Below are 17559 nucleotides of genomic sequence, written 5' to 3' on the forward strand. Positions count from 1 at the left end.
TAATTCACCAAGCCAGCCTCGACAGACCTCATTAAGTCCCCGTGTATTCATTTCAGGCTAATGGCTGTCATGCTGACTGCTGTTTGATTTGCTGTAATAGACTTTTATGGCGTTCCAATTTGCTCAAACGTGTTTGCCTGTGTCTGTGCCCAGAGGTGCTGCTCCAGTACCTCCGTTAGGGGCGCGTGCCCGCCTCGCTGACCTTCAGCACTGCCCCCTCCCTGCTCCTCCCAGGGCCACCCCCTCAGCCCTCCAGTGTGCCCCAGGGAGGTGACCCTGGTGCTGGGGTGTTTAGGCAGGAGGATGGGTGTGAGGTTAGAAGTCTGGTGGTGCCAGATGGCTCACTGGGTCAGGGAATCTGGAGGACCTGCTGGAGTCTCAGAGGTGGCTGTCCTTGAAGTTCTGACAAGTTCAGCCTCCTTAGCTGGGCAGTCTAGGCCTTTATCCATCTAGCATCAACCTACCTTTCCCAACTTATTTTTCGGTATTCTCTTCTGCTATTCCTTCATATGAACTCTCCTATCAGCCATAGAGCCAATTCAATGGCAATGGATACCTGTCTGTTTCTCTCTCTCTCTCTCTCTCTCTCTCTCTCTCTCTCTCACACACACACACACACACACACACGCACACATACACATTGTACTTTTCTAACTAGTACTGGAGTTCAGCCTAACTCAACTCTGCCTGTCGTTCAAAGCCCACATCTCACCTACCATGTTCGGATCTGCCCAATTTTTTTTTTTAATGAACACAGCAAACATTTGTTGAACAGCTACTGAGCAGGGTCCAGGGATTCTGAGCTGACTTGGGCATGCAGGATAGGAAAAAATGCTACCATTTCCCAACTGTGTGACTTTAGACAAGTGACTTAACCTCTCTGGATTTCAGCTTTCTTATCTGTAAGATGAGCAACAATATCTGTCTTGCAGGATTGCTGTAGAGAATGTAGCTAGGAAAAGTCCTTAGCACAGCCTGTGGCTTGTAGTGTATTCAGTAAAATGCTGGTGATTAAGACCAAGGTCTTTGTCCTTGGTGAAGGCAATTTTACTAAGAGAAAGTCAAATAAGTGAATGTCTAACTACATCTAAATGTATTAAATGCCATGGTAGCTTTGTATGTGCACAGTGTATTGGAAACAGTGTGGTCTGTACATGGGGGCTATTTGTTTGGGGCCTTAGAGGCTGAGTAGGAGTTTGTTAGAGAAAGAGACTATGGTGTCTATGAATATCACTCACTTTCAGGGATCCTATAGCTTATTTTCATATATTGGAATTTCCCAGAGGAAAGTCAACTCTGATTTATGATTAGAGACACTGCTGAGGAGGGACAGTGGCTAAGTGGGTGTGTGTCCTTTGCAGGTCCCCACTGTTACCTCACAGAAACAAAGCCAGGCTGGAAGTGAGCCTCTGTGTCCCTGCCCAGGTCTCTGTGACAGGTCCTGTACAGATCCTTGTCCCATGGCCTCAGGTGACCAGCTTGAGGTGGGGATGAGGCTACTATGGGGAAGGGCTGGAGCTGGGGTGAGATCCTGGGAGCCTGAGAGGTGGAGGGTCCTTGCCTGAGCCTCAGTGCTGGCTGCGATCAGGGTCAGAGCCGAAGCCACGCCTCCTGGCCCTGGGCCCCACTAACCTGAACCACCTCTCCATGTCCCTTAACAAGGATGAAAGCTGCTCATTCCCTGTACCTCCTTACTAGAGATGGGAAAGCAGAGAGAAGGGTATCCCTGGATGCCATTTGTCAATGAAATCAAATACATAATTTATTTCTATGGTGACAGTAATAATAAATCGATTGTTGTTGTTGGTTTCCTGTGTGCCCAACACTGTTTTCTGCATGGGATCTCAGGGAGCCCTCACCACCACCTCCTGGGGTAGCCACTCTTGTCATTCCCATCCTACAGAGACAGACACTGAAGTAGGACAGTTACATGGCATGCCCAAAGCTAGTCAAAGGGATGGAGCCAGGATTAGGAGGCAGGCCTGGGGTGGCACGACTTTTTGACATGTAGCTTCACTTCTACCTGCAAAGTAGAAATAATTATACCTGCCTTGCAAACATCGTAGTGAGGATTAAAGTAAATGAGATCACTCACGTAGAGTGCTCAGCCCGGGTCCCAGGATAAGTGCTTGCTCAGGAGATGGCTGTGGCTGTTGTTTGTGTGTTCATCCCTCCCGCCAGACTAAGCAAGGACTGAGCTTGGTCATCTGTGCATCCTCAGCACCCTGCCCCAGGCCTGGCGTATGGACTGTGCTCAGTGTCTTTTGAGTGAATTGGGTGAATGGAATTCACAAATGCAGACAGCCATGCGGCTCCCTCTGCCTCTTGGGCGGTGTGAGGACAAAAGGAACATTTACACAAAGTACTTTGCTCGGCCAGCTGGTCTACCGAGGTGAGGGCTTCCTTACTGTGCATGGTCCAGGGCTGGGTGAGGAGCGGTGAGGCCTAGCACTGAGCTGGCAAGGGCACTTTCACATGTGCCTTGCACTCCACTTTCCTCCCAGACACTGAAAGCACCTTGCCCTCTGCTGGTGCCCACTAGTTCCTGGATCTCAGCCCTGTCATCCTGTGTGCTTTGGCATGTGAGGAGCCCTGGAGTGGTGGCCAGACAGGGTCCAGAGCGTGCAGAGGTGGATTTGGTCCAAGAGGCCAACTTATTAGCACCCACCGCAGCCAGCAGCAGTGCCCCAGCTACCTTCCCACATGGCGTGCCTGTCAGATGCTGAATGATTTATAAACTGCATCCTCAGGTTGCAGCGAGAAGCTGGGGGGGAGATGCGAGGGGGCTCCCACTGGCTTGTGCCTGCCATGGCCCCTGAGTTGACAGCTCCACTCATGAGCGTGTCATCTCCCACGCCAGGAGAGGCAGCCCCTTGACAGGCCATATTAATTTATACCTTGGGGCCACGGGCCTTGGCGGCCCCTCTGCATCTATAACCATGCACCTATTGATCTGGGAGAGGGAGACCAATAAATCATCGCAGGGGCTCTGGACTCCTGCAGGCCACAGCCAGAGTGGGTTTTTCTGGCTGAGCGGCAGCCCCAGACGATGTCTCTATGGCCCTCGGCGACCACCCTGAGGTGCCTGCCCTTTCCCTGGTCTGTCCCCTCTGTCAGCACAGTGACACATGCCTGGAGCCCTGCTCTCTTGCGGCAGGCAGATGCCATCGCCTGCGGCAGCCAGGACAGCAAGCTCTGGGCTGGTAGTGGTGAAGCGACATATGCTTGTGGGCAGAGCAGCAGGGCTTTCTACACAGTCCTGAGGGTTGTGTGTGTGTATGTGTGTGTGTGTGTGTGTTCTTATTTAAATAATATCTTCTGTATCTCCTAGTGTTTTCACTGTCTTTCATTTGTCCTCATGACAACTCTGTAAGTTAGGGGGGAATTATTCTTTTCATTTTATATATAAGAAACTGAGGCCAAGACAAATTCACTGACTTCTCCAAGTTCCCCAGAGTCAGATAGACCTGCAGCATGTTCCATCCTGTGTCCTGCCTCCCAGAGGGCCCTATGAACTCGTTCTCACCTGCCAGCATCTTTGCATGTATTGTTTTGCAATTTGCCATGGCCTGCTTTTGATTTGCAATAAGTTGCAGGGCTGAGGCCCTGATCCATCCCTGGCTGGGGTAAGCGACAGGGAACTCTGGGCCTCATGCACAGGCTTAGGAGGTCCAGTGGAGAAACTGTACTCAGAGCTCACTGCTGGCTGTCTGCAGTGAGGACCACCCCTGCTGGGCATCACCTTGTAGCTCAGGACCCAGCCACGGTCATAGTGACACCCCTTCCTTGTGGCCTGCAGTGTTAGTGTGCTGCAGAGGCACCTCCGTGATTTCGGTCATCAGCTGTGCACACAGCATTGTTTGTGAGAAGCAGGTGATGACCCCCTTCCCCTGCCCACACACACACAGGCTAAATGCCAGCCTGCTCCCCTTGCCTGCAGGGAAGATTCAACATTTTCTGCCACCTCTTTCTGGTTCTTAGGTGCCAAGGAGGGAGTCAACAGGGTCCCACAAAACCAGGGCCCTGAGCTCAGCCCAGCCACACACTCAGAAGCTGCTTGCTTCCTCCTCCACCCAGTGGGGTGAAGCCAAGGACCCCTGGTCCCTCATGTCCCCTGTAACACCACCTCTTCCATGCCCATTGGGGGCGTGGCCAAGGCTGTGGGCGTCCTCCACCACCCACAGCACCACGAAAGAGGACAGCGTGGGAGCAGGAGATGGAGGGAGCCCCCCTGTAATTATTATTTTGTTTTAATGGTAATAATGTTCTTAATTACATCAGTTTCCTCGCCGATTCTAGCTGGGAGTCTTTGGGGGCCCATATAATTCTATTGCAATGATTGCGGGACCCTCTGCCATGAATACGAAGCAGGGGGACTGTGCAGAGCCCAGCTCTCAAGCATTAGGGATTCTACGGCACTCACCGGAACACCTTTTATTGTGCCCCCTGCCCTTTAAATAAAGAACCTCTAAATGGAAGGAGATGATAGCTGCCTGCTAGTTCTGCTGCAGTGTTGGGCTGTCAGCCTCGCACGCTGAGTCCATCTGCCATTTTTCAGCTCCTTTCTTTTAAATGGTTTCCTTGCCCCCATGGTGGGGCCTGATGGAGGGAGGGTACAGGGTCTTCTGCCTGTATGCCTTTTCCTCCAGGCAGTGGGGCACCCCAAGTGGGGGCAGACTTAGGAAACCAAGGGTCTAGAAAGGCCCCACCTACAGCCAAGGGCAGCTTTGTATCGTGAGAACCTGTGTCCATCTGTGACATGGGGACCAGACTTCAACTGCATTGTGATGGGGCTGTGCACATGTGGGCTCTAACTGCACACTGGGAGGCCATAAACAAGGTGTTAGCCTCTCTGAGCCTCAGTTTTTTCATCTGTAAAATAGGGATACACTGAGTTGTGAAAGTTTAATGAGAGCACGTGTATGAAGCACCACATACATAGGTTGTACTTGGTAACTGATGGGTATTACCTTTTTTCTTTTCTTTTTCTTTTTTCTTTTTTTTTTTTTGAGACAGGGTCTCACTCTGTCACCCAGGCTGGAGTGCAGTGGCATGGTGTGATCACAGCTCACTGCAGCCTTAACCTCCTGGGTTCAAGTGATCCTCCTACATCAGCCTCCCAAGTAGCTGGGACTACAGGCACATACCAACATGCCTAGCTAATTTTTGTATTTTTTGTAGGGCCACCAGCATTTTGTAGAGACAGGGTCTCACCACGCTGCCCAGGCTGGCCTCAAACTTCTGGGTCCAGGCAGCCTGCCTGCTGCGGCTTCCTAAAGTGCTGGGATCACAGGCATGAGCCCTCTCGCCTGACCTGAAGAGTATTACCACTGTTATGAAAAGCTTTGAGAACTTCAGGAAAGTTGCCTGGAAGTCCGAGGAGCTCGACAGATGGACTCATCCCCGTGGACTGATTGGCTGAAGTCAGGGCATTGGTGGTCAGGAAACTGACATTCCAGTGGCAGTCAGGAAATGTGTGGGAAACATAAAACAAAGACATGGCAAGGGAAAAAAATGAAAGAGTCATCAAGAAACAGCTGGTAATAGGCCTAGACTTCCACGTAGACTCTGTGAAACCAGCACAGGGTGACCCTGGAGGTGACTTAATCCAGCCGCACACTCTGTGGGCGAGCAACACACTGAGTAAGGGTCAAGGATCTGCCCAGGGTCACCCCGCAATTAGTGGCAAAGCATGGGCCATCAAAGGTGGCTGGGGAAGATTCTCAGGAACTGGCTTCCAGAACCTATGAAACGGAGCTCAGCCCTGGGCCAGAGGCACAGCACTGCTTTCCCAGGTAAGGCCTGAGTGTCCAGAACAGGGCTGGGATGAGGGTGCTCCCCTCTGGGCAGCTCCCCAAACCCCATGAGCAGTAGGCCCGGACTGCCTTCTTGATGCAGGTCACAGGTGTCCACAGGTGTCTGATCAGCCACCAGCACACTGCTATTGTTTTCCTGTTTCTGGGGTCTCTACAGTTTTTATCTTGGTCCCTTCACTTATCCTAACAAGTTCAAGTATTATCCAAACAGCCTGGGGACAGGCCTGGCAGCCCCTGTGACATGGAGGCCCACCACACAATAGGCTTGTTTTGATGTGTGCGCAGGCTGCCTGACCCACCTTGTTTTCTACCAGGAGGGGGAAAACGAGACAGAGCGAGCTTTGGGTTGATGGAATTATTATAATTTCTCTGATTCCTTAGCAGCCTTTAATTACTTAGCAACTTTGTGGTGTTGGCTGGAAGCTGTGAGGGCTGGGCTCTCCCTCTTTATAATAACCTTAAGTGGAAGCCACCTGTCCATCTATTAAAAAGCCCGCTCTTCTCTCCAGATGAGATAATGCCACCGAGAGATGTCACCCGGGGCATAATCACTAGATACAATGTAATCGTCCCCACTCACTGTCTTCATCATTGATCAGCCAGCCCACCTCCCAGGCATGGGGCACTGCCAGCCCCAGGGAGCCCAATGCCCACTCACGTCCTTGCCCCGGAGAGTCGTGGGCTCAGGCTGGTCCCCTCTCCCAATCCTGCTCCCAAGAGAGGGAAATGGTGTGGGAGGCCTTTTCCCACTGACCCCTTCCCATCCCTGCACCTCCCAGTCTGAGCCCACACTTCCCACCATTGCTGAGACGAACCCTCCATTTCAGAAATCCATCCCATCCGTGTGAGGCTTTGAGCCCCTGGTGTTCCTGTCATTCCTATCCCAATACCAAGTGGTCACTTTCCTGCCACCCAGCCTTTGTTCCTGCGGTGCCCTCCCCTGAGATGCTGCCATCCAAGCCCACAGCACCATCTTCCTTCCTGCCAGGAGCCAAACCTGACACTTCCTTCCTCAGAACCATCCCGTGGGAGAGGGTAGGGGAGGTTGGTCCTTTATCCCCATTCTACAGATAAGCAAGCCAAGTGCTAGAGATGTCAGAGCACATATCCCCTTCAGAAGCAGCTGCTGAGGGCCGGCCCCGGCTCTTCACTTAGTCCTCTCTCCTCTGGATTTGGAGGCACAAGTCTCTGCTCCTTATACCCACCCATCCGAGCTTCTAAACCCGCCTCCCAGGTGGGCCCTCTGCCTCTTGACCTTGGCCCAGCCTTTCCTTCCTGGGGTGGCCCCTGGCCCCCCACCTGCAGACAGGGGCGGTCGCCTGCCTGTGCACAGTAAGACAAGTGCAGCTCAACCCTGAGTCTTGGGCGAGTCGTCTCACTTCCAGGGCTCAGCTGCTCCTCTGTAAATGCTTGTCCTGGGCCTGTCCACTCCATGCTGTCTGGAGCTTAAAGCCTCATGCCAGTGGCATGAGTTAATTCCTAGAGTATTTTTTCTGGTGGCCCCCACAAGCTTACACAGGTTTTTTTTTTTGTCTTATTTTTTGAGGAAACGTATTACTTAAGCTTACATATGGAGAAGCAAACACTCATAAATATTCAGCTTTATGAGTGATTGCAAAGTGAATGCATTTGTGTAACTGCACCCGGATCGAGAAGCAGAGCCTCACCAGCATCTAGAGATCCCACTGTGCCCCTCCCTGTCCCTCTCCCTTCCCTTAAAGGTAGCCACTGTCCTGGCTTCTAACCCCGTGGCTTGCTTTTGCCCATTGTCATTTTATTATATCCATTCCAGTGGGTTTCTGTTAACATGTAAGCCCCTGGGAGCAGGCAGCCAGCTTCCTCTTGGGGGCCACTCCCCACACTGGTTAGGAGCATGGTATTAGGAGTACCACAGAAGAGTTTGAATCCTGCTCTTACCACTTACATCTGTGTGTCACTGGGAAGCTTACTGTCTCTGATCAAATGCATGTGGTGCTGACACAAGGTCCCCACTGTGCAGGTGATATGGGACAGTCCGCCTATACATTGCACGCACCAGGGGGAGCTAACCCCTGTGGTCATTACCTTGAGACACTCTCTCCCTTGTCCAGGGTCATCTTTCAGGTGGATATGGAGCTGCCTAGGTGCTGGGATAAGAGGCTGGATGGGTGAAGAGGAATCATAGGGAGGTGAATGGGATGGGGAAAAAAGTTGGATAGAGAGGAAGGAGAAGGGAAAAAAGGAGAGGGGTCTTTTCCCCTCATACTGTCTCCTTCCATCCTCAGTGTAGTCCTTCCAGTTGGTAAGAAAGGTGTGATTGTCTTCATGTTAGAGCTGGGGAAAAAACACCCAGAGAGGTTCAGTGACTTGTCCAAGGTCACACAGCTTGTCTCACATCTTACGGCTCTTGTCTGCCCCCCAAAGCAAGCCCAAATGCATTTAACCCTTGGAATAGACACTCAGGGTTTGGGGTTTTACTGCCCGGCTGCTGCCTTTAGAGGAGCCGGCCCTGAGATGAAAAGGTGGAAGCAGGGAGGGTGTTTGGTTAGGGGAGGGATTCATCCAAGATGACCTTTATTGTGTTCTAGCACCTCCAGCCTCCCACAAAGCTTCTGTTCACATCAGCAACCCAATCTCAGTCCTGCATGGGAAAACACAAAAATCTTTAAGGGCTCCTTAGCGGCTAGAACTGATTGTTTTTTCCTTTCCTGGTCAAGGCTGGGGCAGGGCCAGGGCAATGGGAGAAGAATAATAAATTCTTCTAAAGCATTGTCTTTCTCCTCACCTCCCCCAAACCACCAGATCCCTCAAACTCGGGGACTACCAAACCTTAGAAAAAAATATTCCGCCCAACACAGCCCAAAAGATGGAGATGGAGGGAAATGCAATAGCAGCTATTGGGGCGGAAAGCTCTAAATGGTGTGGAAGTAATGCCTAAAGTGTGCTGGCGATTACAGACATTTCCACGGAGCCACACTCGGGAGGCACGGGTCGGAGCCAGCAGCCGGGGGGAAATAAATAAATAAGTGAGCAAGCCTTAGAGATCCCGTTTAACCGTTGCTGTGCAGAAGGGAGGGATGGGGCAGGTCACTGGTGAGGGGCAGGAGGAGGGTAGAGAGGCTCATTCATGTATTCTCCATCCATCCATCTATTCATTCAAATGTATTGAGTCCCTGGGATGTGCCAGGGATGTTGCAAAAACCTTTCTGTAGTGCTCTGAAGCTGACGACCAGAAGCCCGGAAGGCTGGCGGGGTCTCATCCCGGCCCCCTCTCCAGCCTCCCCTTAAAGATTCTTTCCCCTGCTCTTCTGTATTCCTGCACCTCCACCTTCTTTGTGGTCCCCAAGGGCACTAGGCCACAGGGCCTTTGCACGGCCTTTCTACTTCCCTGGAACACATCACCCTCCCCGTTTTTCATGAACTCCCAGCTTCCCCTGGGATCTTCCATTCCTAATTCATCCCTCCTCCCAATGCAGAAAGATTTTTCTGTTCTTGGGCTTTCAGAGCAGCAGAGCTTCTATAGCTTTGACCTTGAGGTGTAATTACTCACATATATGCAGGACTATTTGATCACTGTTAGCTTCTTACGGGTGACTGTGAGCTCTGTGAAAGCAGGGGCAGGGACATGTGGCTTTCCACCGTGGACGGACCCTCAGGGCCTGGCGCACGGTGGGGACTCAGCGGATTTGTTGCAGGATGCCGTCCCTGCCCTCAGGGAGCTTCCTCCCGCTCCTCTGTAGCCCATATCCTTTAAGAGAGGAATTCCATGAACCAGCCCTTGGTGTGCTCTCTTCCAAGACCCGTGCTGAAGGTAGCTCAGAAGTGCGGTTCGAGCTCCCTGCCAGGCCGTGGGAGAAGGGCTGAGTCTGGCCTCGTCAGTCAAAGGCAGCTAGGGGCAAAAGGAGGATGCCTTGCTCAGGGCTACTGGAGGAAATCGCGTCATCTAATGGGGCTGGAGTGTGGTAAGCAGAGTAATGCCCCCTTGCCCACCAAAGATGGCCACATCAGAATTCCTGGAACCTGTGACTGTGTGACCCCACATGGAAAAGGGGATTTTGCGGTTAAGGACCTCTCTGTGAGGCCTCTGTAATCACCAGGGTCCTTATAAGAAGCAGGTAGGAGGGTCAGAGGAGAAGACATGACAGTGGATGCAGAGGTGAGTGTTGGGATCTGAGGTTGTTATGTTGCTGGCTTTGAGGATGGAGGAAGAGGACAGGAGCCAAAGAATGTGGGTGTCCTCTAGAAACTGAAAAAGGGAAGGAAACAGATTTCCCTTGGAGCCTCCAGAAGGAACGCAGCCCTGCGACACCTGTATTTTATTTCATTTTATTATTTACTTATTTTCTGAGACAGAGTCTTACTCTGTCACCCAGGCTCTAGTATAGTCTCAGCTCACTGCAACCTCTGCCTCTTGGGTTCAAGTGATTCTGCTGCCTCAGCTTCCCAAGTAGCTGGGATTACAGGCGTGCACCACCATGCCCAGCTAATTTTTGTATTTTTAGTAGAGACTGGGTTTCACCATTTGGCCAGGCTGGCCTTGAACTACTGACTTCAAGTGATCTGCCCACCTCGGCCCCCCAAAGTGCTGGGATTACAGGCGTGAGCCACTGTGCCCGGCCGACACCTGGATTTTAGCCCCCTGAGGCCCATGTTGGACTTCTGACCTTTAGAACCACAAGGTGATAAATCTGTGTTGTTTTAAGCCACTACGTATGTAGTAACTTGTTACAGCAGCCATAGGAAACTGACTCAAGGTGCTTTGGAGGCAGAGCAGTGGGACATGTGTTCTAAAGTGCACCCCTGAAGCACCCCCAGGCTCTACCTGCCTTGCTTCTCTGTGGCCTTCAGGCAGGAGGATGGAAGCAGGTTGTCTGCACAACAGTGGGAAGCTGGTGGTTTTTGGGAACAATCCACGAGGGCCAGCCGTGGGCAGAGCATCCAGGACTAGGGAGGGTAGCTGGCTGGGAAGAGGCCCCATGGAAGCCAGTAGGGGTGGAGTGGTAGAGTCCAGGAACCCAGAGCTGCCAGCTGCAGGCAGGAACCCATACCATAGGTGGGGAGAGAGGGAGAGATGGCAGGTACGGGGTGCTGGTGGTGCTACATCCAACAAGTGGCCACCACACTGCTGGGACACCACAGAGGAGGGTTCAGCGGGGGCCTGAGCATCCGTGACCCTCCTGGGAAACCTGGCTTCTTGGCAGCAGCCCAGAAACCAGAGAAAGAGGCGTCCCTGCTTGGCTTGCTACAGCAGAGTGGCAGAGGCATGCTAGAGTGTTGCTTCCATGTGCCAACCCCACCCTCATTCATTCATTCATCTACTCACTCACCAAACATTGCCTGAGGGCCTGCTGGGTGCCAAGCCCATGCTTGGTGCTGGGAACCCAAGAGGAATGAGTCCCTGGCCTCCAGCAGATCCTGGCTGAAAGCCTTCACCCACAGCAACAGGATGCAAGACCCAGTGCTTGAGGACCCAGATAGCCACCAGCAAAAGCTCGGCCCTCTGCATCGCTGAGGGGGTGGAGCAGGGGGTTCACCCATCCCAGCTTTGGTGCTACAAGAAAGCCGGGCCCTGCCTTGGTTCCCAAGTCCCTGGTCCTCCTGTGGCATGTATCAAGCACATCTTCCTCTAGGCGGTAGAATTGGGTCAAATGAGCTTCAGATGAGCCTAGCAAAGTGGCTGTCCCTGTCCTGTCCCACCCCTACACTTGCCCCCACTGCAGCATCCAGCGCTCACCTGTGGCTCTCCACGTGGGCCCAGGAGGCAGGAAGAGGGACTGCCTGGGTCCAAGGTGAGCAGAGGGACTTCCCCCGTTTCTGAGTTATCTGTCTGCTTCTCTATTTCTGAGGTGGGCGGAGGCCCCAAAAGATGGAAAAGGGCTGCCTGAAGTTAGGGGCATGAAGGAGGAAGGGGCAGGGCACAGGCCTGGCATGGGCTCAGATAGACCGTTCCCTGCACTGACCTCCTTCTCCAGTTTCTGCTTATGCCACTCGTATGACACCTGGGACCTCTTAGTCTCAAGCTCCAGGATTCACAAATGATAAAAAATGGGGTCTGTATCTTATCATTTCCTTGAACCTCTAAACCCCAGGGGTACTGGATGGAGGGGAAACGCTGAACAGCAATAATAATAACGATCATGGAGACTGCATGCGTCACTCGGGTGCTTTTTATAACCAATCTATGGCCAAGGCGTTGGGATTCTCCCTCTTTTAAAAATGAGGAAGCTGGGGCTCAGAGAGGTTAAGTCTTGCCCACGTCACAGAGCAGAGATGGGATGTGGACTCTGTCAGTCACTCCCAGCACCCCTTACCATGCTGCACCTCTATTGACCAAGGGCTGGGCTGCAGAGGTGTTTATGTCTCGAGTGTCGGGCGCATGTGGCCGGGGTTCTCAGAGAACCCAGCAGATGACAGACCATTGTGAGAGTGGTGCTGGGCTCGTAGGGCAGGACACCTGGACTGTGGCACCTTGCAGCCTTCCTGAGGTCTCCCACCACCCCTCTCTCCAGCCCCACCCCAGTGCCCTAGGTCAGCGTAGGACAGAGTGGGGTGGGGATGCCAGACACCTCTCTCAGTCTTAGAGAGCCAGGCTGGGCAGCTTGTTCCTGGAGAGACAGCCTCCCGCCCCTGCACAGGGCACGCACGCGTGCACACACCTCAGTTGCCACAGCCGCCCTGCCTCCTTCTGTCCCGGGTGTCTCCCTCACGGGTCAGTGCCCCCAAGTGCTAAATCATGAGCAAATCAGCCACAGCCAGCGGGAGGCCAGCAGGACACAGGGAGGGAATGCTGCCATCAAGGCCATTAGCACTGAGCTTGCCAGGTCGACGCAGCACAGCTGATTGGAAGAGAGCAGCCCAGCCTCCTCCTCTGGGCCCTGTGTGTAGCCCTTCAAGGTGTGACGTGGGACGGGACAGTGTGGGATGTGTGTGCTGTCTGATCATTCACTGGGCGTGCACAGTTCATGGCCTGGATGCTTGGTTTTGTCTCCCTGTGAGAACAGTGTCCACATGGGGACAGCTTCTCCCATGCCTGGGGTGGTTTAGAGGTGTTCCATCTTGAATATAGCAGAGAAGCAAGACCAGGGCACCAGGAGTTAGCCAGGCCTGGGTATGAATTCTGACCCTGTGCAAGTGATTTCGCCTCTCTGAGCCTCAGTTTTTCTCATGTGAAATGGGGACGATCACAAACTTTATAAGGCTTCTGCAATGCACATGAAGCACTTAGGAACAGGACTTGCCTGCTGCAGGGGACCCTTGCATGTCACTTCCAGCATAGAAGAGGAGAGATCAGTTTGCGTCCACCTGGACCCTTTTGGCTGGAGCAGACCTCACCTCCCTGGTCCCCATGGCTGGACTGGGATGTTTCCATATGCTTGGGGGCCTCTCATCTCATCTCTCTGGGCCTCAGTTTACCCATCTGTGCAGTGGGGTTAGTAACTTTGACTCTGGCTAGCTTCCCGGCTGGTCAGTGTTATAAGAAACACATGAGCCAAAGGGTGTGTAATGGCATGTAAACCAAGAGTCTATCTCTCCAGGCCGTGGCCTGGCTGAATAATGCCATCATGCCATGGCACTAAAAGGGTCTCGTAGCATTCCTGTGCCCAGAAAGAGAAGACAGGGCTACTGTGACAAGAAAGACCATCCTGGGGTAGGTGGGGTATGTCACTCCACCGCCAGGCCTCTTGGGACTTGGGTCTCGGTGTTCTCTCCCTAAAGAAGGTCATGGGTCAATCAAATTCTAACAGTTAATGTAGAGGCAGGGCGTATGTTGGTAAACTGAGGTCCAGGACCTCAGTGCCCCCTCGGCCTGGCCAGTGCCTTGGGACGGGTCCCTTCCCATAACTCACCCAGAGGGCTGAGCAGTGACTGTCAGGCAGGCAGGCCCGTCCCTTCTGCACGGCTGGCCTTGCAGCCGGCCTGCGGCAGACACAGCTTTTTTGTTTTTGGTTAAAAAGCCTCATCGGAGCGTTATGATATTGGAATGTGAAGGGTAATTGAGCTGAAAGCTATTCTCTTCCTGCGACCAGCGCGATAGGAGTGATTGAGGTGCCCGGGCCTCCGCAGCAGCCTGGGAATCCTGATGAAAGGTCTGTGGAGAGATAGGGGTCTATTGGCAAGGAGTAGAGCCAGGCCCCCAGAACCCTGTTCCCCACCCTGGGGGCCCAAGCCTGCCCTGCAACATGCTCCCCTGGGACTCTGAGCTGCCAGGCTGGGCCTCCGCCCACCTGGGGCAGATAGCCAAAGCCCCCACATGCTGGGGATGGGGGAGGGTCTCTGATGATAGGTCTTTGAGCAGGGGGATGGGGCACTGCACTAAAACCAGCAGAACAGGTTGTTTCCTGTGTCCCCAAGCCCCCTGCTCACTGCTTTGTCTTTGGTTAGCACACGTCTGTTTCCCCTGTTCTATGGGAGGGTCTCTCTCTCTCTACTTTGAGTCTCTCTTCCCCCATGTTCTACTCCACCTCTGCCACTATTTGGACAACCCCAGTGTTTTCTCAGCCGTATTTTAACACACATGTGAGTCAGCTGAGCATTTGTTAAAATGTGGATCCTGATTCAGTAGCTCTGGGTGGGGCCTGAGACTCTGTTTCCACTAAGCTCCCAGGCGATGCCAGTGCTGCTGGTCCTCCGACCTCACTTTGAAGACAAAGGTTCTAGGAAGCAGCCAGGGCCATGGGCCAAGCAAGAGTGACCCAGATGTTCAACACAGGACTCAGCTGGGAGGGACCCACCCAGGGTGGCAACAGCCAGTTCTGGAGCAGGGCCGCCCTCTGGGGTCATGCACGTAGTACCCGGTGCAGGGAGGAGAGCGCTGGTGAGATGCAGCCCAGCACTGCTCACTGCTCAGGAAGCTGCGTATCCTGGAGCGGGGTGGCCTTGTCTGGAGGAAGGAGCATGCTTTTCTCGGCACAGAGGGGCCATTTTTTCATGGAGCTTTGCACTCATAGGGTAGGGTCCACTCTGAAGGGTATGTTTTTCTAAGTTGTCACAAAAGCACCAGATGGCATGTTTCTGCATATCCCTATTCCTCCCTCCGTCACACACCCTTCCAATCTCAGAACATCTAGCAGAACATGGAAATCAAGGAGAAGGGAAACTAGAGTGTATCACACTCATACTTTAAGACTGTCTCTCCCTTACTCGCCCCCAGCTCCACCTGGCTGGGTGGCTCCCGGCCACCTGAGCCCTACAAGCCCAAGAAACAGGCCCTTTCCTGCCTCCCACCTCCTCCTTACCCACGGAACTCAGCTGGAAGGGTTAAGCTAGGACAGGCCCCTCTCACCCAGCCTGGGGTGGGAACAGGTCTGCTGCAAGGAGGAGGTCCTTAAGGAAAGAGACTCTGACCCACCCACCCCAGCCTGCAGCTTACCCCTCTCTGAGGTCCACTTGTAACTCCCTCTGGGGCTGGATGGAGACTCAGGCATTTGCACACATACACACATACAGACACACACACACACACACACACACACACACACACACTCTCCCCAGACTCAGTCTCTGCCTGGCCGGTTATTAATTGCCATGCGGGCTGAGCTGAATGGGTCCCATTAATATATGCTTCAGCAGCTCCTAGGAGCCCGGGCTGGTGCTGGGATGCCACAGCTTATCTCTGTCAGCCAGGCTTTCCTTACACAGGACTCCACTGGCATGTAACAAGCCCTCCTTGGGGGCTCTGGACCCGTCGGCCAGGCTGGGTGAGGAGAGAGAGGCCCACCTTTCCCGGCTCTGTCTGGCCAGCTCAGGCCTTCCTCTCACCCTGCCGGTGCCCACAGTGGGGCCTCTCAGCAGCCGGAGTCACAGTCCCAGGACAGGTGAATAGGCCTCTGCAGACTGCCAAGCCGTTCTCCACCCGCCGCCTGGCCTGAAGCACCCCCTTTCCACTCTGTGTTGCTCTGCCAAGGACCGTGGGGATTGTGCTGTCATTCTTGTTGCCTGGCTGGCATGGCATCGGGGGGCAGGTGTGTGAGGCTAGGTCTCTCGAGGTCTTGCAGGTGAGCAGAGCTATCACATATTTCTCCCTCTTTCCCAAGCACCTACAATTCCGACAGCCTCTCATCTCACATGTCCCCAACCAGGGTTGGCATTCACAGCCTTCGTGACCATCAGAAGAGGGAGGAGTCAGAACACTCATCTCCCCAACCTTCTGTCCGACCAATGCACAGCATCATGTGCAGTTAATCCTTACCGAACATGTCCCATGGGCCAGAAACTGTGCTCAGCACTTTCTAGGCATCGTTTCATTCTTCGACCACCTTGGAGGAAGGCTCATTCACTCTTCCCATCATGTAGATAAAAAAGCAGAGACCCAGAATGTGACTGCCCTGGGTTACACAGCTGGCCAGCAGACCTCAGAATATGCATGATACATAGAGAGCCTGTCTGAACACCTTGCTTTGGCATGAGGCTCTCGGCTCTGTGGCAAGTTCAGGCATCTCTACATCATAAGAAAATTCCTCCTATGTCAAGCTGGTATAGGCTTCCCTGCCATTTGCACCACATGGTTCCAGATTTGCTGGTTGGGATAGGGTCTATGACAGTTCACCCCTAAGAGGCTGCCACGGGGTTGAACCCAGCCCTTGGGCCCAGCAGCAGCAGCGTGTGAACCTCTGACTAGCTTGTAACTGGCTTACCAGGGTTTATAAAGAGCAAAGAGGCCTCAGAGCTGTCCTTCATTTGCCAAGACTCCCCCAGCTGCGGACCCTTGGGCTGCATTCTAGCTTTTTGCCAGTGCAAACAATCGGTGTCCCCTCATTCCCTGCATAAGGTCATAAGCCCAGCATCACCTCTTCATGATTCTGAACCTCCATTGACACCCACATGTCTCTAAAAATATTGTATTTTCCAATTCTAAGATGCCCATTTGCCCCTTATTTTAAAATATATGCAGTTGAAATGTGTGTGAGTTAGTCGCCCACAGCCTTTGCCTGCACAAGTAGTAGCTGCACTCACCCCACTAGAGTGACTGCTCTGTGCTCATTAGCCTTGGGAAAGTGGGCATGGCTTACCCTTCCCAGCCCTAGGGTAGGGATGGGGAGCCAGGCTGGGTAGGGAGGGGGAGCTGAGGTAGCGGCTGAGGACCAGAGAGCCTCCATGGCCCATCACTGCCCTTGTCTTCCTAGCCATAGACAACACCCATATTTGGCACTTCCTGTGCAGGCAGGAAGTGGTGACATTTTTGACTCCTACACATAGATTGGTTCTGTGTCACTGTGGTGCCTCAGGGTCAGCTTTGAACCAAGATCTTCTTTATACCTTTGGTCTCTGAATGTGTGATTCAGAGCCAAAGAGGGGAACAACAGTGTCAGTGATTCCATTCTGCTCACAAATTTGATTTTCTAAGGAGTTGAAGAGTTTGGGGCTGGACTAAACGTTTCTCAGTCTTGTTCAAAAGACCCTTAGTCCCCAGGGAAACTACCAGCCAGCTCCTCCCAAAAATGGGGAGTCCCTCAGAGAGACCCCAGAGCAAAAGGTAGGAAAAGCTGTTTGGGAGCCAGGAAGGAGGGGCTGAGACTCCTCCAGGGGCCTAAGATGGGGAAGTGAGTTAGCTTGAGGCATCAGGACCTTTGCAGGAAGCCCAGTCAGCCTTCTCCTTCCCCAACAACAGCCATTCCCAGAAGCCCTTGGGCAAGGAGCCTCTAATTGATGAACTTGTTCCTCTGTAGCTGTCACACGTCTTCAGTTCATTACAGCCCCATCTGCCTCTCACAGAGACTGCTCTCCGCCAGCCTCCTGGCTGCGTCTAAGGGAGAGAGCGCCTGCA

At 53.2% G+C, this 17559-nt stretch overlaps 1 protein-coding gene across 5 annotated transcripts in view, besides 2 other annotated features; it reads left to right on the forward strand.

Annotated features, from left to right (window-relative positions):
* Positions 1–17559, forward strand: part of CDH23 (cadherin related 23) — a 419028-nt gene that overhangs the window by 117873 nt on the left and 283596 nt on the right. The gene's annotated exons all lie outside the window — the stretch shown is intronic.
* Positions 2736–3236: an enhancer, noted in NCBI's record as "H3K4me1 hESC enhancer chr10:73277285-73277785 (GRCh37/hg19 assembly coordinates)". NCBI's record gives its function as "activates a minimal SCP1, AML or CMV promoter by ChIP-STARR-seq in naive H9 embryonic stem cells {active_cell/tissue: H9 hESC(naive)}" and the evidence as "EXISTENCE:reporter gene assay evidence [ECO:0000049][PMID:30033119]".
* Positions 12530–13040: an enhancer, noted in NCBI's record as "H3K4me1 hESC enhancer chr10:73287079-73287589 (GRCh37/hg19 assembly coordinates)". NCBI's record gives its function as "activates a minimal SCP1, AML or CMV promoter by ChIP-STARR-seq in naive H9 embryonic stem cells {active_cell/tissue: H9 hESC(naive)}" and the evidence as "EXISTENCE:reporter gene assay evidence [ECO:0000049][PMID:30033119]".

Source organism: Homo sapiens, chromosome 10 (assembly GCF_000001405.40).
Source record: "Homo sapiens chromosome 10, GRCh38.p14 Primary Assembly".
Lineage (NCBI taxonomy): Eukaryota > Metazoa > Chordata > Mammalia > Primates > Hominidae > Homo > Homo sapiens.